The following is a 25,362-nucleotide window of genomic DNA, read 5'->3' on the forward strand; positions in this document are numbered from 1 at the left end:
ACTTGATTTTGTTTGGAGAACATGGTAGTGTCTTGAGCTCATGGGGTTCCCTGGGGACTGGGGAAGAGCAGCATGTGCAGGGCCTCATTGGGAAGGGGCAGGATGGGGAAGTGACAAAGCCCTGGGCTGGGCTAGGAGACCTGGGTTCCTTCCTGACTCTACCACTGACCTGCTATGTAGCCTTACTGGACACATCCCCTCCCTGTCTGGACCCTGGGGTCCCCCTTAGAAGTTAAGGACCTTGGTCCTTCCTGCCTTGCTTCTGTGAGAGAAGCAATTTCTTTTCGAGACAGCCCCTTGGGAAAGATGTCCCGGGGTGTGTTCTTCCTCCCTGACACCCAGGCAGCTGCCTTCTTTGGCAAGGCATGTGTTTGGAAAGCTGACCTTCTGGGGAGGAGGCCCAGAGCAGCCAGAGGCCCCAACCTGAGGCCTGCTGTCCTGGTGTGGGAGGTAGCCAGGTCACCAGCCCACAGACAGCCAGGCTGACCCTGTGGTTAAAGAACTCAACAGGCTCTTCTGCCTGGGGACAAGGCCCCCTACAGAGGAGGCACCTAGGAGGGAGATGAGGTGTCTCCAGCTCTGGGGGAGAATCCAACTACCCCATGACTCTGGGCAAGCCACTTCCCAGAGTGCACTTCTTCATCCGCCACCCTGGCCCCCTACTGGGCTGCTGAGAGTGAAAGTGCTTTGTAAAGAACAGAGGGAGGGGCCAGCAGTTATCACATGCAGCCACTGCAGCTCTCCTTTCTTGGGACCTGTTGCCATTTTCAGATGCATAGTATCCTCATCTTCTAGCCCTATCTCTGAGGATGGAGACAATGGGTCTTTGGGGCAGGGGTTCTTTTACATCAAAAATCAGGAAGGGAGGAGGGGGATGACAGCCAATTAAAAACAAAAGCACTGTGTGTATACTTCACAATTAAAAAAAAAAGAAATGAAAACAAAACAAAACAAAACAAAAAACATGCTCCCCCAACACTCCCTCCCCCAAAAAACCAAAGCACGGCACATACATCTGAAATGGAAAAGATACTGGGGGGAAGGCAAGTGTGTGTTTTGGAGCCAGCTACGGCTAGGACTGTGTGGGTGAAGGAGGCTGTGCCCAAGGCCTTGCCCCCAGCACAGTTGGCCTCCGCAGGCCGGGAGGCCACTGCAGCACCCACAGCTATGGGCTGATGTCGGGGAGGAGGGGCAGCTATGGAGCTTGCCCAGACCTCCCTTCTCCACTGACCCAGACAGGGGTGGAGCCCCTGCTGATGCTCCCCCAAGGCCTGTCCTCAGAAGAGCCTCTGCCGCTCCACACCCCACAGATGAAATAGAAAAGTCGAGTCTCACCAGGTCGGTCCTGAGCCACACCTCAATGTCGTCCATGACAGATGGCTGCGCAACGGGGATCTATGGAGGCGGCAAGCAGCGGGCCAGGCAGCCCCCACACAGCCAGCGAGGGGAGACAGAACACCGGAACAAAGGAAATCATCAACAGCAACCCCAAATAAAACCAAAATGTACACAGAGCAAAAAAACACAATTGGCACAGCACACAGGGGCAACACAGGGCAGCCACGTGTGAGATGGCAGGTGAGGAAAGCAATGAGGTGCAAATGATAAGAAGCAGGCTCCCGGCAGGGCCGGCGGTAAGGAAGGTGGCTGTACGCGTTCTTGAAATGGAGAACTTTTTGACTATGAGTGTCCACTCTCACATTGCGGGGCCTCTCAGCCCGGGGCTGCAAAACACCTTCTAACTTCAGGAAGGCGCTGCCACGCAGGCTGATTTTGAACTCAGCCACTATGACAGTCCGCTGTCAAGCCCAACCCAGGGAAGGCCAAGTGACAGCCTGCCCAGAGCGGGGTACAGGTGCTCAGAGGGCAGGGCAGCACCAGCCCCGGGGGGATGCAGGGGGTCTGTTTGCTCCGCTGAAGAGATTTTGAAATGCGTCCTGGTGCATTTCTGAGTGGAGAGGGGAACTGGAGGAGGTGCGTGCTCCGCTGGGCTGGGTGTGGCCTGGTAGACAGAGGCAGGCACATTTTACCATCAACAGAAACACAGCAAAAACGAGGGCTCTGATGACAAAGGGGACTATGGGGCTTTAGTCTTCTTTGTGTCTCTTTAGGGGAAATTCATGAAGCAGCCCTGAAAGCAACAGCTCCCTTTAGTCTCGTCCTTTCTTCCCTGTGTTCAATGGCTGGCTGTGCTTCAGGAGTCAAAGAAACCAAGTTCAGCTGAGCACTGGGGCGCAGCAGCCAGAGCCAGGGAGGTGACAGCTTCCAGGCATACTAAGGTGTACCACGGGGTTGCCTGAGCAGTCACCTTGCTTGGGCCCCTGTGCCAAGCACCTCAGGGACAGAGACTCTGAAAAATGCACATGGCTAAAAAGGTTTAAGTTGCCATCAAATATGACATGATAAGAAGCTCCCTAGAAGCCATGTTAATGGAATGTTGGCTCCCAGCCTAGAGAAATGAGGTGATGACCCTTAATCACCTCCTCACCTACCCTGGCTCTGGGAGGTACCCTTCCGGGGCTCACTTGCAAGACCCCTATTTCTATTACAAAAATGCCAGCTCTGTCTATAGCTGGCTTCACCCAATGCCATGATCTAGGGTAAGACTAAAGTAAAAATAAGCAGTAAAAGGAATGCATACCCCAGTGTCTATCAAATGTAAAAAATAACACGACCTTCACAAAGAAAAAGAACAAAGAACACATATCACCAGCAGTGATGTGACAACTCCAGTCCTGGGGGTTGACACCTGCTGCTGATGGTGGGGGAGGGTGGTTTGGGGTCCCAGGTAGAGTCCAGCACTCTGAGCAGGTATCTACGATGCCACCAGAGCTCTTCACTCCCTCAGTGAGCTCAGCTGGCCCCTTGCTCTGAGGAATGTGCTCTGTGTCCTAACTTCGGACCCAATGTGGGAAGCCCACAAGAGCACTTTCAGAAAGGCCCAAGCCAGTCACTGATCAGATTAGGAAGAGTCTGTGTTGCTCATTATTTCTTTGACTTACTGGGGAGTTAAGAATGTTGAATTGAGCAGGGCACGGTGGCTCATGCCTGTAATCCCAGCACTTTGGGAGGCCGAGGCGGGCAGATCACCTGAGGTCAAGAGTTTGAGACCAGCCTGACCAACAGGGAGAAACCCAGTCTCTACTAAAAATACAAAATTAGTTGGGTGTGGTGGTATGCGCCTGTAGTCCCAGCTACTGGGGAGGCTGAGGCAGGAGAATCACTTGAACCTGGGAGGCAGAGGTTGCAGTGAGCCGAGATCACGCCATTGCACTCCACCCTGGGCAACAAGACTGAAACTCTGTCTAAAAAAAAAAAAAAAAAAAAAAAAAAGAACATTGAATTGAAAAGGTATCAGGGAGTCTTATCACCCAGACATGAAACCTAGGGACAGGAGGCATGTGGGTCCTCACTGGGGGGATGGACGCACAAATGACTGACAGATGTGTTAACAATGCCTAAGGCTGGCACTTCCTTGCCCTTGCCCATCAAAAGGCAGTAGGGTACACTGCTACTCTGTGCTTGCTGGCAGGCCTTCTGCCTTGAGACATTCCTGGAACAGGACACACCAGTTATCATGCTCTCAATGACTGTAAGTCAGAATGTGTGGCCTCTGGGAGGACGCATGCCATGCTGAGTCCCCAAAACTGAAGCTTAGAAAGTCAGCAGCATCTCCAGAGAGAAAATAGTCCCACACTAGCGGTTAGAGTGTGCACCAGCCCTTTCTTTACACCTGACCAGCTTTTGTCCACTTAGCAGAAACAGACTAGATGTCCTGAGCTTTCCAATGTGTTGCAAAAGCTACAACAAAGACATTAAGGGGTCAGGGGCCTTAAACCTTCAGATTTTTCTTGTAATTGTTTTGTTGCTGCTAAAGAACAAATCCCTTGAGGCCTGGGGTCATACTTTAATTTTCTTCTTTGGGGATAAATCTTGAGAGCCAACATGCTCAGAAAATAAACAATGACACTTAAGAAATTCCTCACCTCCTCAAAAATAACTTCCCAAAAGCTGGCTCATGGGAACCCTTTTCTTCCATGTCCTAGATTTTTCCAAATAAGTAGTATGTTTATGGAATGGCATCCTCCAGACCAAGCCCTAGAGGGCACGCTGAGGAGAGTGCACTGGGTGGGGTCCATCTGGGCCCTCACACTCACTGGTGGCAGGACCTGGGGTGAGTCGCTCCTCTCTGGACCCCACTTTCTTCACCGGAGAGCTCCTGAGTTTCTTCTATCCTAAGAAGCCTTAGAGATTTGGGTGGAGAGGCAGGAGCAGGGGACAGAGGCCTGAGCAATGCTTGGCCTCAATTTCCTCATCTGTGAAATAAGGCGATTGCTAGATTGTATTTGGCTTTCAATTCTTATGACTCAGAAACCTTAACTTTCAGGTTGGTGCTTCTGTTTTCTAATTCAGAAACCCAGGGATGTCAGAAATTATGGAAACTGACTCATTACAATATAGAAGCCACTTGGCCTCAGGGCGTGAACCATGGTGGAGCAGGGTGATGGTTAACAGTTAAGCTTATATAACGTAAGCTTAAATTGACTTTCTTGTGGCCAGACACAAAACCTTAGCTATCTAAACCTCTTGTCCTGGTAAATAAATGCCTTGAGTATTATAACAGGGCAAAGTTCCTTCTAATAATGTAGGTGCTATCAGACTCAGACTAAACATGTACACTGCTTGGAAAATATGAACCAAAGAAACTGTGGGAGGCCGAGGACGCGCTCCTTGTCAGGCTGATGGGAGGGAAGTGGGGCCCTGGTTGGAGCAGGGGGCACTGCGCTGAGTCTTAGGGGACTCTGTTTCTTCCCTGCAGCTTTGGGCAAGACACCAGGCCCTTAGGAGGCCTCGGTATCCTCATCTGTCAGACTAGGGGCTGGCCCAGCAGATTCCTAAGAAGGCTGTTGGCTCTGATGTGTCATAGTTTTATTTTTATTTTTATTTATTTATTTAGTTATTTATTTAATTAATTAATTTATTTAGAGACAGAGTCTTGCTCTGTTGCCCAGGCTGGTGTGCAGTGGTGCGATCTCAGCTCACTGCGACCTCTGCTTCCCAGGTTCAGATAATCCTTGTGCCTCAGCCTCCTGAGTAGCTGGGATTACAGGCGTGAGCCACCACACCTGCCTAATTTTTTTTTTTTTTGTATTTTTAGTAGAGACAGGGTTTTGCCATGTTGGCCAGGCTGATCTCAAACTCCTGGCCTCAAATGATCTGCCCAGCTTGGCCTCCCAAAGTGCTGGGATTACAGATGTGAGCCACTGCACCCAGCCTGACATGCCATAGTTTCAGCATTTTCTTGGGCAATGATCCAAGCTGAAGGCTGGTCTGAGGGATCTGAAGAAGCGTATGAGTTGGAAGAGAGGGACAGAAAGGAAGAAGACATGTGAAGAGAGAAAAGGAAGGAAGCTAGCAGAGGAATGCCCTCCAATAGAGACTGCTGCCTGAAGCTCAGCCCCTCTGAAGATAGGTAGGCCAGGCTGGCTTGGCTGAGGCAGTGGTTAGACCAGCCCTGCCCATTTTCAAAGTCCACAGACATCTTGGATGTCAGAAGCCACAGGTTTTGATCTGAGTGGCAGGTGAGCCATCCTGCTGTCAGCTGATTCTCACTTGGAACTGCAGGCAGGGGCAGCTCTGCCTCAGGGATCAGGAGGGAGGGTTGCCTGCCCAAGGGGGAGAGGCATGTCTGTCTGGTACTCCAGGGGTTAGGATTATCCTTCCAGAGTAAGAGCCTTGGGGGCCTCCAGGTCTGAGGAGGGAGTCCCGCCCTCCAAACCCAAGCCTGGGTTTTGGCAGCAGCATTCTTTACTAACCTACCTCTGTTCTTGTTTTGACTTAGATTCTCTCACATGAGGATATTTTCCTGGCTGCACCCTGCAAAAGGGAGACACCCCTAGCTGATCACCAGCCAAGAGAGGCAAAAAGACCTCACACTAGAGAGGCCAGGGAGGGAGAGCACAAGCCTAGCAGTCTCCCTGAGAGCCGCCCGGCCCTAGCCCATTGACAAGTCTCATTTCTCTTCAACCAGTAATAAGCCTGGTGGTGTCAGTTAACTTCTGTGTTGGCTATCCACACACCTGAGTCCCAGGAGCATAAGGGTTCCAACAGATGCTCCTCTGCAGCTTCCCACAGCCCCATGCCCACAAGGAAACCCACCTGTCCAGTTTTCAATGTAACAAGAACAATTTCTGTAGCTCAGGTGTACTATTTCCAGAGAAGCTGTGAATCCCTTCCTATGTCACTTCAAGCACCACCCCACTGGGACCAAGTCTAAAAGCCTTTGATCTCACTCAATAGTACAAAAAGTTTCCAAGTAAAGAATTTGTACTCAGGAGGCTTGAAAAGACTCAAGGTTTCTACACTATGGGAAATAAGGCAAAGCAATTAATATTTGTTGTAAAGAAAAAAAAAAAAACAAACTGCAGTCAGTCAGGCAAGACACCAGGTTAGCTGTTAGTTAGGTTTGTTTCTGGGAAGTTAGAGACTGGAGCTCTACGTGGGACCTGGCAGTGGCGAGGCAGTCTGTGTGGGCAGAGACAGGCACCACCACCAGCTGCCAAGGCCACCCTCAGGGGAGTTTGTGTGGGCAGTATCCTTTTTTGCAGGATTAATAGGCACAAGGGCATGTGGGCTGGATCTTCCCAATGAATGGACATGGTTTCCAGAAGCCCTGCTGCAAAGGCCCCTGACATGTGGGCCAGAGGCCAGCCTGTCCCTGAAGAAGCAAATGAGAGGCCTGGGCCAGCACATCTCTCTAAGAATGGGCTTGGGGTCTAGTGGAGGAACTGCCTTCTCACGCAGAGCAGCAGTATGCTGCTACTATGAGAGGTGGCAGGAGACCTGCCCAGGCTGACAGCAGAGCTGTGCAGAGGGCACCAGCCCAAGCTGGGTGGCAGGCAGATGCCCCTTGCTCCCACGGCTCTGGGTGATCCTGCATGGCCCAAGTTCCTACTCACTGGTCACGCTTTGCTCAAGCAGGTGGACCCTGTGCTGCTTGCAGTCTAGGACCTGCTGGCCTTTCCTCTGGCCACAGCCTAGCATAGCACACTATGGGCAGTTATGTATTCCTCTCACCCCACCCCACCTGGAGGGAGAGGCACATGTTTGCACTGCTTTCATCATCTTTCCTTCTCTGCATTCTCTCCAGCTCAGGCTCCATCACATGTACCACAGCTTTGGGCTCTGCTAGAGGTGAAATGGTCATCCCAAGACATACAGCCTGAGATGAGCTGACCCTCTCTCCATGCACCAGGCTCAGGCCACCTGAACAGACAAGGCAGGAGAGACCCTTGCAGGTCTGTGGGCCAGGAAAGCTCTGCTACATGAGAACCAACTGTGTTTACAACATTGAACTCCCCTGGGCTTTGTTTTCTTTTTACTCTGTTTCTACTGTGTTTATTTTTTTATTTTTTTGAGAGGGAGTCTCACTCTATCACCAGGCTGGAGTGCAGTGGTGCAATCTCAGCTCACTACAATCTCTGCCTCCCAGGTTCAAGCGATTCTCCTGCTTCAGCCTCCCAAGTAGTTGGGATTACAGGCACATGCCACCACACCCAGCTAATTTTTGTATTTTTAGTAGAGACAGGGTTTCACCATGTTGGCCAGAAGGGTCTCGATCTCCTGACCTCGTGATCTGCCTGCCTCAGCCTCCCAAAGTGCTGGGATTACAGGCGTGAGCCACTGCACCCGGCCTGTGTATTCTTCAAGAGGTTTCAAATCATTTTGACGGACTTAGTGGATATAAGCAACTATATTATAAAAATCTGTCAAGCCTAGGACTGCCAAATTCACAGGCACTGGGCTACAGAGGGCTTCCCTGACTGGTCAGATGCTTTGAGTCTGTTCCCTTAGAATTGTTCCCTCCCAAGCAAAAGCCACAGTAACTTGTGCTCATCCTGGAAAAGTGAATACTGCTCGGAGCTCCGGAGACAGTAAAAGGAAGGAAAGGACCCTCTCCTCATCCCTGCTAATGTCCCAGACTCTTAAGGCCTGGGGACAGGGAGGTATTTTTGGGACTGGGAATCTGTGGCTTACAGAGATTATGCAAAAATAGGAGGGGAAATTTGGCACCCCTGCCAGAAAGAAAGCGTGTGGCCTTGTACTGTCTGATTCACAAAGGCTCGGCAGGTCACAAGAGGAAGACATGAGCTGTTACACAGGTAGGGGCTGGGGTGGACAGCAGGCTTGGCTCGGCTGGTGACTCCTCACCATTCCTTGGGTTATAAGCCAGCTGTCTATGGGCTCCAGGTCAGACTCCCCACCTCTACCTCTCTTCTGGGCCGAGGACAGAAAAGTCTCAGAAAGAAAAGTCACAGCAAGACCCATGAGAAAGAAGTCAATAGCACATATTGTGGAAACAGAAAAGTCACTCTTCAGACGTGATCCTTTGCCACGTAAGGAAATGTGATGCCCTGCTCCCAACCTCCACCCCAGCACGTCCCCCTTACCTGCCTGGAAAAAAGAAGAAAAGTTTAGTAACCAAGAATCCCAACAGGATAACACATACTCATGCCAACTACTCCCGTGCCCTTGGAAAATCTCCAGGAGATCACAGAAGGTTGACCAGAGCCGCTTCTCTCAATTACGGCTATCAGGGTTGGGAGGGGGTCAACTTTTCAAAGAACCAGCTTTTACAAAAGCAATTCTACTTTTTTCTTTTTCCTACATTTTTTTTTTCTCTTTTCTAGTGGCATGTGTATTCTTTTTCTAAACTCTTGAATACTAAATTTAGGTGTATTATTGCCTTTTAAAATATTTATTTGAGATGAGGTCTCACTGTGTTGCCCGGACTGGTCTCAAAAACTCCTGGGCGCAAGTGATCCTTCCGCCTCAGCCTCCTGAGTAGCTAGAATGACTTTTTCTTTTTCTCTTTTTGAGATGGAGTCTTGCTCTGTCACCCAGCCTGGAGTGCAGTGGTGCGATCTCGGCTCACTGCAACCTCCGCCTCCTGGATTCAAGCAATTCTCTGTCTCAGCCTCCCAAGTGGCTGGGATTACAGGTACCTGCCACCACACCTGGCTAATTTTTGTTTCTGTTTTTTTGAGATGGAGTCTAGCTCTGTCGCCAGGCTGGAATGCAGTGGCACGATCTTGGCTCACTGCAACCTCTACCTCCTGGGTTCAAGCAATTCGCCTGCCTCAGCCTCCCAAGTAGCTGGGATTACAAGCATGCGCTGCCACGCCCAGCTAATTTTTGTATTTTTAGTAGAGATGGGGTTTCACCATGTTGGCCAGGACGGTCTCAATCTCCTGACCTCGTGATCCACCCACCTCAGCCTCTCAAAGTGCTGGGATTACAGGCGTGAGCCATTGTGCCCGGCCCTAATTTTTGCATTTTTATTAGAGACAGGGTTTCACCATCTTGGCCAGGCTGTTCTTGAACTCCCACCTCGGCCTCCCAAAGTGCTGGGATTACAGGCGTGAGCCACTGCGCCCAGCCCTGGGATGACCTTTTCTTGACTGACTTGGTTGGATTTGATTTGTAGAGGTGCGGCTACACGATTTTCTCCCATTCATTTTATTTTATTTATTTTTGAGACGGAGTTTCACTCTTCTTGCCCAGGCCCGAGTGCAATGGCATGATGTCGGCTCACTGCAACGTCCGCCTTTGGGTTCAAGCGATTCTCCTACCCCAGCCTCCTGAGTAGCTGGGATTACAGGCATGTGCCACCATGCCCAGCTAATTTTGTATTTTTAGTAGAGATGGGGTTTCTCCATGTTGGTCAGGCTGGTCTCGAACTTCCGACCTCACGTGATCCGCCCGCCTCGGCCTCCCAAAGTGCTGAGATTACAGGCATGAGCCACTGTGCCCAGCCTTCCCCTTTTTTATTGTGTTCTTAATTTCTCCCTTGGCCTCGTTTTCATTTCGAGGTCAGCATGGCTTGGGATGGGACAAGGTAACCTGAAATGCTGCAGGTGGGCAAGAATATGTGTAGACACACACAGACACACACAGCCCACATGCTCTGCTGCCCTGTATCGCTAAGGCTGTGGCCATGGCATTGCCCCATGGAGCAGCAAACATGAAAAGCAATCTGATGGCCGGGCATGGTGGCTCACATCTGTAATCCCGGCACTTTGGGAGGCCAAGACGGGCAGAGTGCCTGAGGTCAGGAGTTCGAGACCGACCTGGCCAATATAGTGAAACCCTGTCTCTAGTAAAAACACAAAAATTAGCCGGCTGTGGTGGTGGGCACCTGTAATACCAGCTACTCAGGAGGCTGAGGCAGGACAATCGCTTGAACCTGGGAGAGGAAAGCTGCAGTGAGCCAAGATCGCGCCACTGCACCCCAACCTGGGCGCCAGAGCGAGACTCCATCTCAAAAAAAGCAATCTGCCTACTGCTGGGTGGAAAACCTGCTGGAGTCATCAGGACCTTTGAAAACAGGGAGCTAGTCCAAGCCACACACACAAAGGGTGAAGGGCGGGAAGTCACTCACATCTCCTGGGCTCAGACCCAGGCCTGGGCGCTGATAATGGCAGGGGTGCAGCAGGACACACCCTGGCATGGACAAGGCAGGTCCTGGACCCAGAGTGAGGGACAAATGAGGTCAGCCTCATAGGGGCACAACAGGGCTGCTCCCAGTGCAGGCCAGGGTTGGCCACGAGGAGGGGATGTCCTCACCAGGCAGTATCCTGGTAGGCCCCTGGCTGGGCTCTCTAATGCCCACGCTGGGGCAGGTGGGAGGACATTCTAAGTAATGGGAGAATCAGAGCCATGAGCACTGCATTGATTTTGAGTGTCCCAGTCTCAGGGGTTCAGGTGGCACTGCCCACTCCTGTGGAAAGGCACGGCACTGAGGACCCAAGGCAGCCAGCTGGCTCTTCTGCGCCCTCTGGTGACCAGTGCAGAGGGATGCATGCCCTCAGATCCACCAGGTGAAGACCAGCATGGATGAGGGAGTGAGTCCCTTCCCCCAAGAAGGAGCATCCCGTGGAAACCAGCACTGCTGCCTGCCTGGGCCCATTGGACAGGGGCTTCAGAAGGCTAAAAATTGGGACCCAGTAAGCAAACAGCCCTTTGCAAACCTTCCTGTCCAGTGGACAGATGATCACTGCCCTCTCTAGCCCAGCTGGGGGACCCAGACAGGAGTTCCAGCTGTTGTCGGCAGCTATTCCAAGGACCCTCCTCCTCCCTGCCCCTGCAAACAGACGTGCATTCATACACATTTCTTTGTTAGGCAAAAACAAAAATCTCATGAGAAGCATTAAGACACACATTCTTTCCCCTTCAGTAATCCGAAATTGTACAGAAAGCATGGTTATGTTTGGGGAGGCCCAAACACATACCATTCCCTCCACTTCACTGTGCCGCACCCCCTCACCGCCACAGGACACCCTCCCAGCCACCACCCAACTGCACCAGCTCTGTAAACAAACCCTGGCTCTCGAGTGCCTTCTAATGGGGTTGGTACTGCTCTGCTAGGCCAGTGACAAATGGCCATCAGAGATGTGGCTCGGGTCAGCATTGTCCTTCCTGGTGCAGGCCATGGTTTTATCAGAGCACTGACCACCCTGTGGCACTGTAACAGGTGACCATAGGAGACTTGTGCCTGGAGAACTTGGGGCCACTGTGGTAGGAACAGCAGGGGTTCTGGAAATGGACACTAATCCTAGGATTGGAACCCCAGCTTGCTGTCTGCTCTCTGGGTGTCTCAGCCTGTCTCCCACCTGCCTGGGACTGTTTTCTCTTGGGTGGATTGGGAAGCTCATGTGTGGCCTCATCTCACGGGGTGAGGTGAAGACTCAATGAGGCACTACCTGGGTTCCACGGGGTGTCCCCCGTGGGTCTCTCCCCCAGGGTGTCCCTGCCCCCTGTGCAAGCCAGTTTCTGCTGAATTACCCAGCCAGCTTTGCCAAACCACCTGACTTTCCCTCCAGAAGACTCCAGGCAGAAAAACAGGGTTAAAGACCTACCCCTTCTGAACTCTGTTTTCGATTGTCTAGTGCAGAAGCAAGTCCTCCGACAGCCTGAGGATCCTCATAGGTTACCCTGGAGATGAAGAAGCAGCACAAGCAGAGTTCATTTTCCTCCAGTGGTCATGGAGGGATGGGGTAGTGGCCTGTAATCACTTCTATCCTATGGTCCTTCCTCAGATGTCCTTGGAAAAACATTTCCTGAAACCTTGACATTGAGCAGAGGCTAAGGGCTCATGTTGTCTGTCTCCCTGCAGTGGATGCTAGGAGGCCTGGGTCCTAGCTCAGGCTGAGCCACTAATCTCTGCGATCTCAGATTTTGTGCACCTCAACATCCCTCTCTTGAGTAACAATACTGAGCATCTCTGAAGCTGAATGTCCAAAGTGCCCTAATACTCCTCAGAGGGAAGACTAGATAAACACAAAGTAACATTAATTCTTATTTTATTAGCAGCAGCCTCAGTGGCATTTGACAGGGAAGGTGGTCTCTGGGACCCGGGCCTGTCACTGATTATGGGAGGTCTTCCTCCACTCTCCGACTCCTTTAGCTATATCTGTTTTACAATCAACCTTTGGTGGTGAAGGGTACATGGGACCTTGGGTTTCTGCTTACCCTACTGAGCCCCAAGCAGGACTCAGGGTGCTGAGTGCACCAAGATGCTGGGTCCCTGGGAAAGGTGGGAAAAAGTGTGTTTCACCCGCCTTTAGGCTGAACAGAAAGCTCAAAACATGTACAGTGCCTCCCTGAGATGTAGGAGATTCTCTCTTTTGGAATCAACTCCCTGAATTCCAGATGGCTCATCCTAGCCAGAGCTGCTATCAGAGGAGCCTCTGCTCTGACCACTTATTTTAGTCAGGAAAATCTCGCTGTAAGGAATGGGTTCACCCTGCATGGCTGCACCCTCCTGCTTCCAAGCTTCTCCTGTGGATGAGGGGCCAGGCAGGGTGGTGTCTGCAGCAGCAGCAGCATGGGGAGAAAAGAGAAAAGCTGTCTCTTACAACTGACAGGAGAAATCACACTCCAATCAACCCCAAGGGCAGGAGAGTGTGTGTGTGTTTGGGGGGGTGGGGGAGGAGGTGGGCAGTTGGTATTTATTCAGTATCTGCATCTAATGCCAAGTCCTTACAGCCATGCTTTAAAGTTCCTGGCAGTCCTGGACATGGTAAATAAATGCCTTTTTGTGCTGGCCTGTGACCAGGCATGGGTCAATCCCCCCAATATCTTTAGAGAGCCACTAAAAGGGGCCCCACATACGTCTTGCGCTGCTCAGCCAAGGAGTTTCCTCTCGTCTGGGCAAACATGTCAAAGCCGTCACGGGGATTACATTGCTGGAGTGAACTGAGGGTGCCACTGACGCTCTCTGTCCCCAAGTCTGTGGCAACAAAACAAATGGGTGGCAGATGAGAACAAAATGTAGACTGTAGATCTGATGAAGGGCCCCCAAGCTAGGACGCCAGCCAGGTGGGTTTAGGTTCCATGGGGAGGGTGGGGCGGGACTTTCCTTGGTACTCCCAGTGCACCACATGCCGGAGGAGCCAGGGCGGGCCAGATGGGGGACAGAACAGCCACTGCCCCTCAAACTGCTCAAGGAGGCGAAAGAGTCATAACAAAAAAGAGATTGCTGGGGTGACAAGGCAGGGACTGGCGCCAGTGCACCTGCAGATTTTCCATAATGCCCTTCTCGCTTGGGCTCCTCATTAACTCAATCACAATGTCCAAGGACCTGGAACATCTATTTATTCAGCAAATATTTCTTAGGTACCCACCATGTTCAGAGCTAGATCTTGAGTAGACCAAATTGAATCTGATATGGTCCTCAGCTTCAAGAAGGTCAGAGTGGGCAAGAGACAAGCCACAGCAGTGCTTGGCTTGAGACATCAGGAAAGACTCAAAACCAACACAACAGTGGGTCTGTAAGGATAATGAGGAGGATGCTGTGGGGAGAAGGGGAAAGGCAGATAAAAAGGCACGGGGTTTGGAGGCCAGGGTGTGTGAAGTGAACAACGCTCACAGGAAAAAATTTGTGGAGGAAGTGGCTGGTAATACCTCAAATGCCAGGTAAAGGAGTGGGTGGGAAGACACTAGACTTTTTTTTTTTTTTTTTTTTAAAGAGACAGAGTCTTACTCTCTTGGCATGATCATGGCTCACTTTAGCCTTGACCTCCCGGGCTAAGTGATCCTCCCACCTTGGCCTCCCAAGTAGCTAGGACTACAGGTATGTGCCACCATGCCCAGCTGTTTTAAAATTATTTTGTAGAGACAAGGTCTCGTTATGTTGCCCAGGCTGGTCTCAAACACCTGGCCTCAAGTGATCTTCCCACCTCGGCCTCCCAAAGTGATGAGATTGCAAGTGTGAGCCACCACCCCTGGTGGACACTACACTTTTGTTGTTGTTGTTGTTTTGTTTGAGACAGGGTCTCACTCTGGATGCCCAAGCTGGAGTGCAGTGGCATGATCTCAGCTCACTGCAGCCTCAACCTCCTGGGCTCAGGAGATTCTCCTACTGCAGCCTCCTGAGTACCTGGGACTACAGGTGTGTGCCACCACTCGCAGCTAATTTTTTTGTATTTTTAGTAGAGATGAGGTTTTGCTATGTTGCCCAGGCTGGTCTTGAACTCCTGGACTCAAGCAATCCGCCTGCCTTGGCTTCCCAGAGTGCTGGGATTACAGGCGTGAGCCACTATGCCTGGCCTACTATACCTTTTTTAAGAAGAGAGGTAGCAGAATCCAATTTGATTTTTTTTTTTTTTTTGAGACAGAGTCTCGCTCTGTCACCCAGGCTGGAGTGTAGTAGAGCGATGTCGGCTCACTGCAAGCTCCGCCTCCCGGGTTCACGCCATTCTCCTGCCTCAGTCTCCCAAGTAGCTGGGACTACAGCCGCCCACCACCACGCCTGGCTAATTTTTTGTATTTTTAGTAGAGACAGGGTTTCACCGTGCTAGCCAGGATGGTCTCGATCTCCTGACCTTGTGATCCACCCGCCTCGGCCTCCCAAAGTGCTGGGATTACAGGCGTTAGCCACCGCACCCGGCTTTTTTTTTTTTTTCTTTTTTGAGATGGCATCTTGCTCTGTTGCTCAGGCTGCAGTGCAGTGGCACAATCTCGGCTCACTGCAACCTCCGCCTCCCGGGTTCAAGCGATCCTCCTGCCTCAACCCCCCTAGTAGTTGGGATTACAGGCACACACCACCATGCCCAGCTGATTTTTGTATTTTTAGTAGAGATGGGGTTTTGCCATGTTGGTTAGGCTGGTCTTGAACTCCTGACTTCAGGTGATCCACCTGCCGCAGCCTCCCAAAGTCTTGGGATTACCGGTGTTACACTTTGAATTTTAAGTATTAAATCTGGCAGTCATATATGCTGGACTGACTGAAGGCAGAGACATCTGTTCTGATACAGAAATAGTGGCTACAAATATACGAAATATTGAGAAGCTACAATTACAGCAACTGATAGCCACTAGAAGTTTAACTCAAGTCAAATGAAAGGAAAGTAGACGAGAAATATTTTTTAAAAAGGAAAACAGAAAAGCAAGACAGAGGAAAGAATTTTGAGGGCCATGCTTATTATTTCAATGTTATAATTTCATTTGTTATAAATTGGTATCATCCAGTATAACCAATGTGCTAGAGTCATATACACACTTTGAATGTACAAACTAAATGAACTGTGGAAAGTGGTGAGTTTCTTTTAAGTTCCAGACAATGGACTGCTTTAGGCTGATGGTAAAGTTCAAGGAGAGCAAATATTTCAGTGCTGCTACCTCCTGTTTCCAAGCCCTCTGTAGATATTGACAATCAATCAATCACAGACTTTTCTAAGCCCTGATGTGGCTTCAGCATCCTCCTCAAACCTGTGTTCCAAGAAGCCAAAGAGCTGAAACCTATCTGCCCTCCTTGACCTAGTTAATATTTATTTATTTTTTTGAGATGGAGTCGTCCCCCAGGCTGGAGTGCAATGGCGCGATCTCGGCTCACTGCAACCTCTGCTTCCCGGGTTCAAGCAATTCTCCTGCTTCAGCCTCCTGAGTAGCTGGGACTACAGGTGCCCGCCACCAAGTCTGGCTAATTTTTTTGTATTTTTAGTACAGACGGGGTTTCACCATTTTGGCCAGGCTGGTCTCAAACTCCTGACCTCAAGTGATCCACCCACCTCAGCCTCCCAAAATGCTGGGATTACGCGCCCGGCCTTGACCTAGTTAATATTGAAAAGGAAATTACTTCAATCATAGGGAATGTTCCATATAAAACATGGCAGGTGACCTTTCTTTTTTTTTTTTTTTTTTTTGAGACAGTGTCTTGCTCTGTCGCCCAGGCTGGAGTGCAATGATGCGATATCGGCTCACTGCAACCTCCACCTCCCAGGCTCAAGTGATTCTCCTGCCGCAGCCTCCCGAGTAGTTGGGATTGCAGGTGCCCACCATGCGCAGCTAATTTTTGTATTTTTAGTAGAGACTGGGTTTCGCCATGTTGGTCAGGCTGGTCTCAAACTCCTGACCTCAGGTGATCCACCCACCTCGGCCTCCCATAGTGCTGGGATTACGGGCGTGAGCCACTGCGCACGGCCGTGACCTTTCTTTAATTCATTGGAATTTCCCCCATCCCTGCTTTCCAACATAGATTTTAAACTTCAAATTTAGGGGGAAAAAAGGTATGAATTGAAAGTAAGGTGGTACAACTGGCTAGGACTCAGGAATACACTTTCACATGTATTTCCCAAAAGACTCTCTTTGGGTCTTCCAAGAAAGAAAGAGAGGTGGCCTGCAAGGGAGGCCAGTGGTAGGAAGTAGGTAGGCCCTTTTGTCCCTGTGAGACACTCACCTAAGCCTGCAAGCTGGGAGGAGAGGGAAGATGGGGGCGCTGTGTTCCCCACCATTGGGCTCACCACGGCTGGAGACCCTGGCCCCAGGTCTATTAAGTTGTCTTCGGTTACTTCATTCAGTACCTGTCAGAACATGAGATTGGCCATAAGCCCCAGAACCCTGGAGTCAGGCTCTGAGGTAGAAGCTGGCAAGGCAACTATGCAGGGTTCCAAGAAGAAAAGTATCAGCGCTGCTCTAGTACAGAAGCAAGGCCACTTCCCCCACCTGCCTTCCAGGTCCATGGTGGGCCTGGATGTCAGTGAGCCCTGCTCACTGCCTCCTCCCCGTCCCCACTAGAAGGAGGGGTTGCTGAGTCAACAGTGACTGTCCTGGGAGATGCAAACTTAGGGCTTGCTTGCCACCTTCCCATCAGGGGTGCCTGCTAGCTCTGCCCTAGTATCCCATCAACCAGAGCTTGCCTCTTCAATTTCCCAAATATTTCAAAACCAGTTAGAAAAACTGGAGGTCTCTCCAGCCTCCAAAACGTGGAGGGGTAGGTCTGGCCTCAGGAGATGACAGGATTCTGAAGGAATACTTACTCCATTACTGGCATTTTGAACGGATCGGCCAGACCTGTATCGTTCGAACCTAACAGGGGAAGGGAAAGCAGAAGTAAGGAGAGAGGATGCCTGTGATATGGCCCTGTGGGGTGCTCACTAGTCCTATGAAGAATCCCTGGGACCAAGACCAGCCAGTCCCACCTGGGGGCTAGGGAGTGAAACCATATATCAACTCTGCCACGGCTTCCTCTGTGTGGGGCTCCCCCTGAGAGGATCAGCTTCTCACCCAGCACCCAGAGTGGGCATCAGAAAGGGGTGGTGGCTGGCCCATCATGGAGGTCATTGTGAGTGTCCCCAGCCTCTCCTCACACACCTGGGCCCTGGAGGGAGGGTGGCTTAACCACCTTACCTTGGAGCTGCAGACTCCCTATTTCATAGGGCTGTGTTCAGGAGCAACTAGCTAGTGTTCCTAACATGCTCCCAACTCAGCCTCTGGGGAAAGGGGGTGGGGCACACATAGGGTGGGCACCAGCAGGAGGAAGGCGGACGCATGGCCCTGGCTACGGCCTGGGGAAATGCTCGCCAGTAGCTGCTACAGAGAGGCCTGGGCCAGTCATCGAAGGACTGCTAGGAGGGTGGAGTGAGTGTCCTCTGCACCCAGTCAGGCAGTGCAGGGGGAGTTGGCTTTGAGCAACTGTCGAAGGCCAGGTCATCCTCCTGTCAGGTGGGGAACGGAAGAGTAGTTATGAGGTGTGTGTTGGGGTGGGGCAGAATAGATTATGTTCTGTATCGTATTTAAAAACTCCAAATGCCATGGGCAGCGGTAGCTAAGAGACTTTTTCCAGCTGGAGCCTTAGACACCCAGCTTTAGTGAGTTATGCTGCTCCAGATTTGTCTCCCAACTTGCTGGGGTCAGCAGCTGGTGACAAGAAAGAGATCCCCAGGAGGAATGATCTGGGTAAGGCAGTGAGTGTCCACTGTGGTTTTAAAAACGACTTGTGTGTTTTTTCAACAGTGGTCTACAAGGAGAACAGGAATATTAATACATCTGAAACAATTTTAATCCTGGGGTACCTTTCCCACACTCATCTTCAATGAACAATGAGTATCATCAAAGACACTCTAACCAGGATAGCACTTCCAGCCACCAGCCCCAGGCTTTGCCTCTGAATTATGTGTAATGCTTGGACTGGGAGACTCTTGGGTGAAAATACTCATATTAGTTAGCTCCTGTTATGCTTTCTAGCAGGGCTTAAATAGGTTTAATAGGTTAAACCCAAGCCCATTTACCATGGAGAAACTGGAATCACATGGCAAGACAAAGGGGCCTCGGGCTGGGAGTCAGGTCCCCTTATATCTGCTCCTGTTCTCCAACTGATGCACTGGGGGGTCCTGGGGATGCCCCCACACTTACTGCAGAGGTTTATTCACCTGTCAGGTGGGCACAGAGCCACTGGTGTGTACTTCCGTAGTCAAAAGATGAGACAAGGCCCAAGGCTGTGACAGCCATAACAAAATCACCCTTTAGGTCCCCAAAGGGTAACGCAAATGCAAGCATCTGTCCCACTCACCCTAACTGATGCCAGGTCCTTGTCCTCCTGATGAATCCAGCAGTAGGTTGTGAGTCAGCTGGTGCGGCAGAGGGGACCAGGACCTTAAATCTGCAGGGGACTCAAGCCACTGTCCTGTCCTCTCAAGCCTCATCTTTAAGGGGAAAAGGTTGGCCTGATCATGGTCCTTTCTGGTCCTTATGCTGAGTCCTTCATGAAAGCCCAGTGTGCTCCCATCAGGTGATGAGATGGGAACTGTGCTTGCCATTATTCCTCCTATTTAAAACTAGGTCTAAATAAGACATTTTGGACTTTGTCCTGAGGGAAGGCTTTGGAAATGAAAAAGAATTTGCAGGTTTGTTACCTCAAACTCAAAAATGATTTGGCTGCAGAAAGAACTGGAATGAATGTGTGCACGCTTCCCTAAGCAGCAGCATTCCGGCACTTACACCCGCCTGCTTCCCCTGAATGCTCTAGATAACATTGACATTTGCAAAGGGAAAAGCTTTTTTTCTTTTTTCTTTTTTTTTAAGATGGGAAAGAGGAAATCCTTTTTCTTACTAGAGATTTTTTTTCCCTTTAATCCTTTTCAAATTCAAAGGATCATCAAAGGAGCAGGTGCAGAAGCTCTGGGGCCCAGAGGCCCCCAAGTGCTACCCCTCCCTGGGGCTGGGGGTGGCGGGGCAGTGGGGAAAGGCAGAGCAGCCTGAGGCTTACAAAGGGCAGAGCCTAATTCTGCACGTCAACTTCCTGCTGCTTCTGCTGCTCAGTTCCCAGGAGGACAAGAAGCATTTTTCCTGTCAGCCGGGAACAAATTAGCATCTCTGATGAGTATTTTCCAACTCTAATCTCTCTCCCTCTCCCTCTCTTTCCTTTGTTTATGAAAGAAATCCCTCTGTTATGGCAACAATCTTTTCAAGGGAAAAAAAAAAAAAAAGAAATCCGGCTCCCACCTCTCGTATCGAAGGAAGACGTTGTTGAGGTCATCGTTCACATGCAGCAGCTCCTCGGTGACCTCCTCATTGGACACGCGGGAGATGAGCTCCACGATGCGCTGCTGCATGGCCCGACAGGTCCTGTTGAGCTCCTAGGGAACACATGCACCTCTGGGTAGCCTGCTGGGTGTGCTTTTCGTCACATTCTATCTCCTTTGAAAAAATTTGTACTGATTCTTAAAAGTCACAAAAGGAGTACATGCTTGTTCATAAAACCAGACATGTGCCGAATTCAAAGTAGAAGTTCCCTCTTCACTGCCTGCCCCTCCTTCCGCAGAGGAAACAAGTACTTTTTCAGCAGACAAATGTCCAGACATACTGTTGTATGTATACAAGTACATGCTTGTACAAATCATTAAAAAATATTAAAATGTGATTCTTTCCAGATTGCTTTTTCTCAACAAAATATTCCAGACACCGTTCTCCATCACTTGGTACAGACTGCCTCATTCCTTTCTGTGTGTTTCATAATGTATCTCGCCATTCTTCTATTGCTGGACATTTAGATTGTGGTCTCTCTTTTTGTGGCCAACCTAAATAATGCAGCAATGAACACCTGTACACACACATGCATATGCACTTGGGCAAGCACTTCCATAGGACAGGTTCCTTAGCAGGGAAATTTCTAGGTGAAAGGGTATGGTCATTTATAACATTAATTAGTAATAGTAAAAGGCCCTCCAAAAATATGACATCAGTTTACTTACACTTCCAGCAACAGCAGGAGTGTATTTTATGACTGCATTAGGTATATTTTGGTGGCACGTCTGCCACTTTGCCGAGACCTCAGAAGCCCAGGCAGCTCCCTGGCTGGCCGAAAGAGGAAATTCGCACACCCCCGGTTGCCCCTGGAGCCCTCTCTACCCTTAGAAGCAACATCCCCGTGACGACAGAGCCTTAGCACTTTATGGCCTGGCTTCCATGAGCCTTCCCTGTTCCAGAACAGCAGACTTACTGATGCCCTTGTTCAAACTTGCTTACAGAGCTCCGTCAATTCCTGCCAGGCCCCTTGCCATCTCGATGCCAGACTGAGGATGCTACAGAGGAGGGAGCTGGCAACACTGCCAGGCTGGCCCCCAAGCATGTGACCAAAGCTACAAGTCCCAGTGTGCCATACAGGGTTAAAGCAGAGGGAAATGCTGTTCCCACCTACCTGGGCACTGGAGGGTGCCAGTGAGTTAAGGGGATAAGACATGAAGGATAAGTCTCTCCTTCTCACAGCTCAGCCTCAAAACGACTTCATTTTGAAACCGTTTCTGGTAGAAGTAACTGATTTATTCACAGGAGACACGGCAATCTCTCTTTAGTTCCTCATATTGTCTCATAATCTTGCTAGCTTGGCTACAGGGTCTTCCTTCCTACCACATCATAAACTCTTGAGGGGGTGTTACCATTTATCCACTCAAGGATGCCCTCAAGCCCCGCACTGAGCCACACACAGTGAAAAAGCCCAGTAATCATCTGCTGAACACATCACCAAGGTGGTCAATCAGCCAGTGGGGAATCAAAGGCATCCCCCCTGCATGTCCCTGGTATCCTGCAACACAGCACTCACACAGGGGCTGGGCTTCTTATCTGCCCTCCCGTCTAGACTGAAGCTCCTTGAGGGCAGAGAAGGTATTTCCCTGGTACCCATGACACATGGGAGGCTCTCCCCAAGTACTTCTGAGAGAATTAATTAATGACTCTAAAGTATTCAGAGGCCGGGGCCAGGTGTGGTGGCTCACGCCTGTAATCCCAAAACTATTGGAGGCCGAGGCGGATGGATCACGAGGTCAGGAGATCGAGACCATCCTGGCTAATACGGTGAAACCCCGTCTCTACTAAAAACACAAAAAATTAGCCGGGCGTTGGTGGCGGGCACCTGTAGTCCCAGCTACTTGGGAGACTGAGGCAGGAGAATGGCGTGAACCCAGGAGGCGGAGCTTGCAGTGAGCCGAGATCACGCCACTGCACTCCAGACTGGGAGAGAGAGCGAGACTCCATCTCAAAAAAAAGTATTCAGAGGCCAAGTGCGGTGCCTCATGCCTGTAATCCCAGCACTTTGGGAGGCCGAGGCAGGCGGATCACTTGAGGTCAGGAGTTTGAGACCAGCTTGGCCAACATGGTAAAACCCCATCTCTACGAAAAAATACAAAAATAAATTGGGCACAGTGGCATGCACCTGTAATCCCAGCTATTCAGGAGGCTGAGGTGGGAGAATTGCTTGAATCCGGGAGGCAGAGGCTACAGTGAGCAGAGATTGCACTACTGCACTCCAGCCTGGGGAACAGAGTGAGACCCTGTCTCCAAAAAATAAAAATAAAATATAAAGTATTCTGAACTCTTGGTCCCCGCAAATTACCAGCTCAGTTATCCACATACTCTCAGTCTTCTCAGCACTCTTCACTCAGAGAATGGGGAATTCTTGTTCATCCAGGATCTAATTTTCCCTCTCTAGGACTCATCCCAGGCCCCACTGAACCAGCAGTAAGCACTTATAAACATACAGACAAGTGCTAGAATTAATAAGAGGTGAATACGGGATCTTAATTGCAGGGGACACTACTATCCAGTAAAGAGAAAACTCCACAAAATACCCACTCTCCTCTGTTGTGAATGGCTCATGTCCCCAGGCCAGGCAGGAGAGGGGCTCTCAAAAAGCTGCCTGGGCCTTGGGGCCTGCCAGACGTGGTCTGGATTGCCAGGCAATAATGGCCACAGGCGCCAATGGACACTCACAGGTCAAAACCCAGTCACAATTACTGTACACAGGAAAACCAACAACACAGGGGAAACACTCATTACAGAATGAAGCATACTCAGGAGTGATGCAGAAAACCAAGGCAGGCCCTTAACATTAAAACAAACAAAAACAAAATAAAAATGTCCAAACTTATGAAAGAAACAATCACATAGATCACGTGAAGGATTCCAACAGCCAGGACTGAAGTGAACAATTAAAATAATTATAGTATTTCTAATAGATTGTTAAAACACAGTGAGCATCTGTTCAGGGCTGACAGAGGAGCACAGATTTAGGTTAACTTTGACAGACCATCCTCCCCTGCTTCCTAAAAGAAAAAAAGGATACTTGGCCAACACTTGGGCAGTAGATTTACCCCATACTTTGGAAGAAGCACCAGAGGGAGACCTGGCCAAAGTGTGCAGGATGGAAAAGGGAGGCTGGGCAGTAGGACAGAGAAAAGAGGTCAAACAAACTTCTGCCTCTCTGCTCTGCCATGGACTGTTCCGGGCCACCGTGCGGGTCTCCTCCCCAGGGATGTGGACGTGCCAACACACATGAGGACCGAGCCAGGCACTGCTGAGCTCCTCTTTGCTCCAGCGCTCCAGGTGTCTGCGGAAAATCTCTGATGAGCAAAAGGATCTCAAGTCCCAGCTCAGGACCCACCCCCTCCAGCAAACAGGCCCATTACAAGAAAGTGTGGCCTCTGGGGCTTGTGGCCTAGCAGCAAGCCCTGGCTGTCCTTGGCTGGGGAGGGAGAAGGAAAAAAGTCAATCACTTCTCATGCAAACTGCAGGCCAATCACAAGGCACAGGACGTGCAAGTCAGGGGAGTGTGGCAGTAGGTTGTGGGAAACAGATCCAAGTTACCCTCCAGAAGACTGGGGTATCAGCACCTAAGGCCCACAGGCCATCTTCAAATACACCTCAGACTTTCCAGAATATAGGTGGCCTCAGGCACTTGCCACACTGCTTAAGGGCTCCTGAGAAGTTGGCCATCTGCCTGCAATGTCCCTTATTTCCTTTTCCATCAAACAAACTCTTACTCATCCTTCAAGGCCTCAGGATGTTTCCCCACTCCAGTATTTTGTCATAAAAATTTTCAAACATACAGCAAAACAGGAAGAATTTTACAGTGAACAGACACCATATGCCTATCACCTAGATTGTACCATTAACATTTTACAGTGACAGCTTTAACACGTACTTCCCATTTATTCATCTTCCTGTCCACATACAATGTTTTCTGGGGATCTCCCACCACCCCACCCTCCTCAAGACTCCCAAAGCATTCAACACACTCCAGTCTGTCATCAGAGCCCCTCTACAAAAACCTCCAGCAAGGGGTGACCAGCCCCCATCTGCACTCCACACAGCAGAAGCCCCGAAACAAAGAGTAGGCCTCAAGGGTGGTTCACTGGATTTAGAGGAGAACCAAACCAGATTCCTCAGTAGACTGCAGGAAGTGTCTCAGAAACATGGCTACAAATACTCCCAGCACCGGCGGCCTGATGGAAGGGAGCAGGGGTTGATGTCAGTCTCCTCAACAGAGCCCTAGCCCCAGCTGGGTGCTGGGGACGAAGCTGCAGGCAGCAAGTAGCCTGTGACTGGATACACTCTCCAAGTCTCCAGTCCTCTCCAGGCCTGCTTCTCCCTGGGTAAAATAAGGGGGCTGCATTCATGAGGAAGTTTTTCTGCAGAAGGCCACTGTCATGCTGCAGCGGCCTCCATGGCACGGGGCCAGGGCAGCTGAGGCTGCTCTGCTTTTCTCGATTTTAAACACTGCCATTCACTGTAAAATTTTATTTGTGGAGGAAAAGGTTCCATACTTTATTTACTTATTTACTTACTTATTTTTTTTTTTTTTTAGATGGGAGTCTCGCTCTGTCGCCCAGCCTGGAGTGCAGTGGCACAATCTCGGCTCACTGCAAGCTCCGCCTCCCGGGTTCATGACATTCTCCTGCCTCAGCCTTCCGAGTAGCTGGGATTACAGGTGCCTGCCACCAAGCCCGGCTAATTTTTTGTATTTTAATAGAGACGGGGTTTTACCATGTTAGTCAGGATGGTTTCAATATCCTGACCTCATGATCTGCCCGCCTTAGCCTCCCAAAGTGCTGGGATTACAGGCGTGAGCCACCACGCCCAGCCATTACTTATTTATTTATTTATTTATTTAATATGTTGAGATGGAGTCTTGCTCTGTCACCCAGGCTGGAGTACGGTGGTACGATCTCAGCTCACTGCAACCTCCGCCTCCCAGGTTCAAGCAATTCTCCTGCCTTAGCCTCCCAAGTAGCTAGGATTACAGGCACCCGCCACCACACCCGGCTAATTTTTGTATTTTTAGTAGAGATGGGGTTTCACCATGTTGGCCAGGCTGGTCTCAAACTCCTGACCTCAAGTGATCCACTTGCCTCAGCTTCCCAAAGTGCTGGGATTACAGGTGTGAGTCACTATGCCTGGCCTCCATTACTTTAAAAAAACGTTTGGAAAGTGTTAGATGATTTCTGAGGCTCTAACATTGTGACCTCAGCTTGGAGGAAGAATGAGCCCCAAGGGCACAGAATGCAGTGATCTCATCAACAGTCAGCACCAGGAACATCTGCTCTGGCCTTGTGTTTGCTGCCTCTTCCCCACAGCCTTCCCACTGGGGTGGTGGGTTAGACAGCTCCCAACCCCACAGGCAGGGCCTCTATGCTCCAATCCTGGAGAAGCATCCTGATGGCTTTCCAAAGAGCTATGCTAAAGACAGGCCCAGAGACTATGACCTGGGGCTTCCACATCAGGGATTTCCAGGGGTCTCTGCACAGAGAA

At 50.4% G+C, this 25,362-nt stretch overlaps 1 protein-coding gene across 17 annotated transcripts in view, besides 5 other annotated features; it reads right to left on the minus strand.

Moving 5' to 3' along the window:
- The window catches only part of TOM1L2 (target of myb1 like 2 membrane trafficking protein), a 128,890-nt gene that overhangs the window by 6,047 nt on the left and 97,481 nt on the right, over positions 1–25,362 (minus strand). For 6 of the 17 annotated variants that reach the window (NM_001288789.2, XM_011523662.2, XM_005256466.2 and 3 more), the window contains 7 exons: positions 19,783–19,916; positions 17,319–17,367; positions 16,739–16,862; positions 13,174–13,291; positions 11,919–11,994; positions 8,212–8,298; positions 1,336–1,395 (listed from right to left, as the gene is read on the minus strand). In NM_001288789.2, the coding sequence (NP_001275718.1) occupies positions 1,336–1,395; positions 8,212–8,298; positions 11,919–11,994; positions 13,174–13,291; positions 16,739–16,862; positions 17,319–17,367; positions 19,783–19,916 (648 nt within the window). The remainder of the gene's footprint in view (positions 1–1,335; positions 1,396–8,211; positions 8,299–11,918; positions 11,995–13,173; positions 13,292–16,738; positions 16,863–17,318; positions 17,368–19,782; positions 19,917–25,362) is intronic. The other 11 variants (XM_047435389.1, NM_001033551.3, XM_047435388.1 and 8 more) reach the window with 2 other exon arrangements.
- Positions 337–596: an enhancer, noted in NCBI's record as "active region_11814". NCBI's record gives its function as "activates an Ori minimal core promoter by ATAC-STARR-seq in GM12878 lymphoblastoid cells {active_cell/tissue: GM12878}" and the evidence as "EXISTENCE:reporter gene assay evidence [ECO:0000049][PMID:35858748]".
- Positions 337–712: a biological region, named in NCBI's record as "Sharpr-MPRA regulatory region 7387".
- Positions 418–712: an enhancer, noted in NCBI's record as "tiled region #7387; HepG2 Activating DNase unmatched - State 5:Enh, and K562 Activating non-DNase unmatched - State 5:Enh". NCBI's record gives its function as "activates a minimal TATA promoter and a strong SV40 promoter by Sharpr-MPRA in HepG2 and K562 cells {active_cell/tissue: HepG2 | K562}" and the evidence as "EXISTENCE:reporter gene assay evidence [ECO:0000049][PMID:27701403]".
- Positions 9,268–9,768: an enhancer, noted in NCBI's record as "H3K27ac hESC enhancer chr17:17762139-17762639 (GRCh37/hg19 assembly coordinates)". NCBI's record gives its function as "activates a minimal SCP1, AML or CMV promoter by ChIP-STARR-seq in primed H9 embryonic stem cells {active_cell/tissue: H9 hESC(primed)}" and the evidence as "EXISTENCE:reporter gene assay evidence [ECO:0000049][PMID:30033119]".
- Positions 10,542–10,591: an enhancer, noted in NCBI's record as "active region_11815". NCBI's record gives its function as "activates an Ori minimal core promoter by ATAC-STARR-seq in GM12878 lymphoblastoid cells {active_cell/tissue: GM12878}" and the evidence as "EXISTENCE:reporter gene assay evidence [ECO:0000049][PMID:35858748]".

This window comes from Homo sapiens, chromosome 17 (assembly GCF_000001405.40).
Source record: "Homo sapiens chromosome 17, GRCh38.p14 Primary Assembly".
Lineage (NCBI taxonomy): Eukaryota > Metazoa > Chordata > Mammalia > Primates > Hominidae > Homo > Homo sapiens.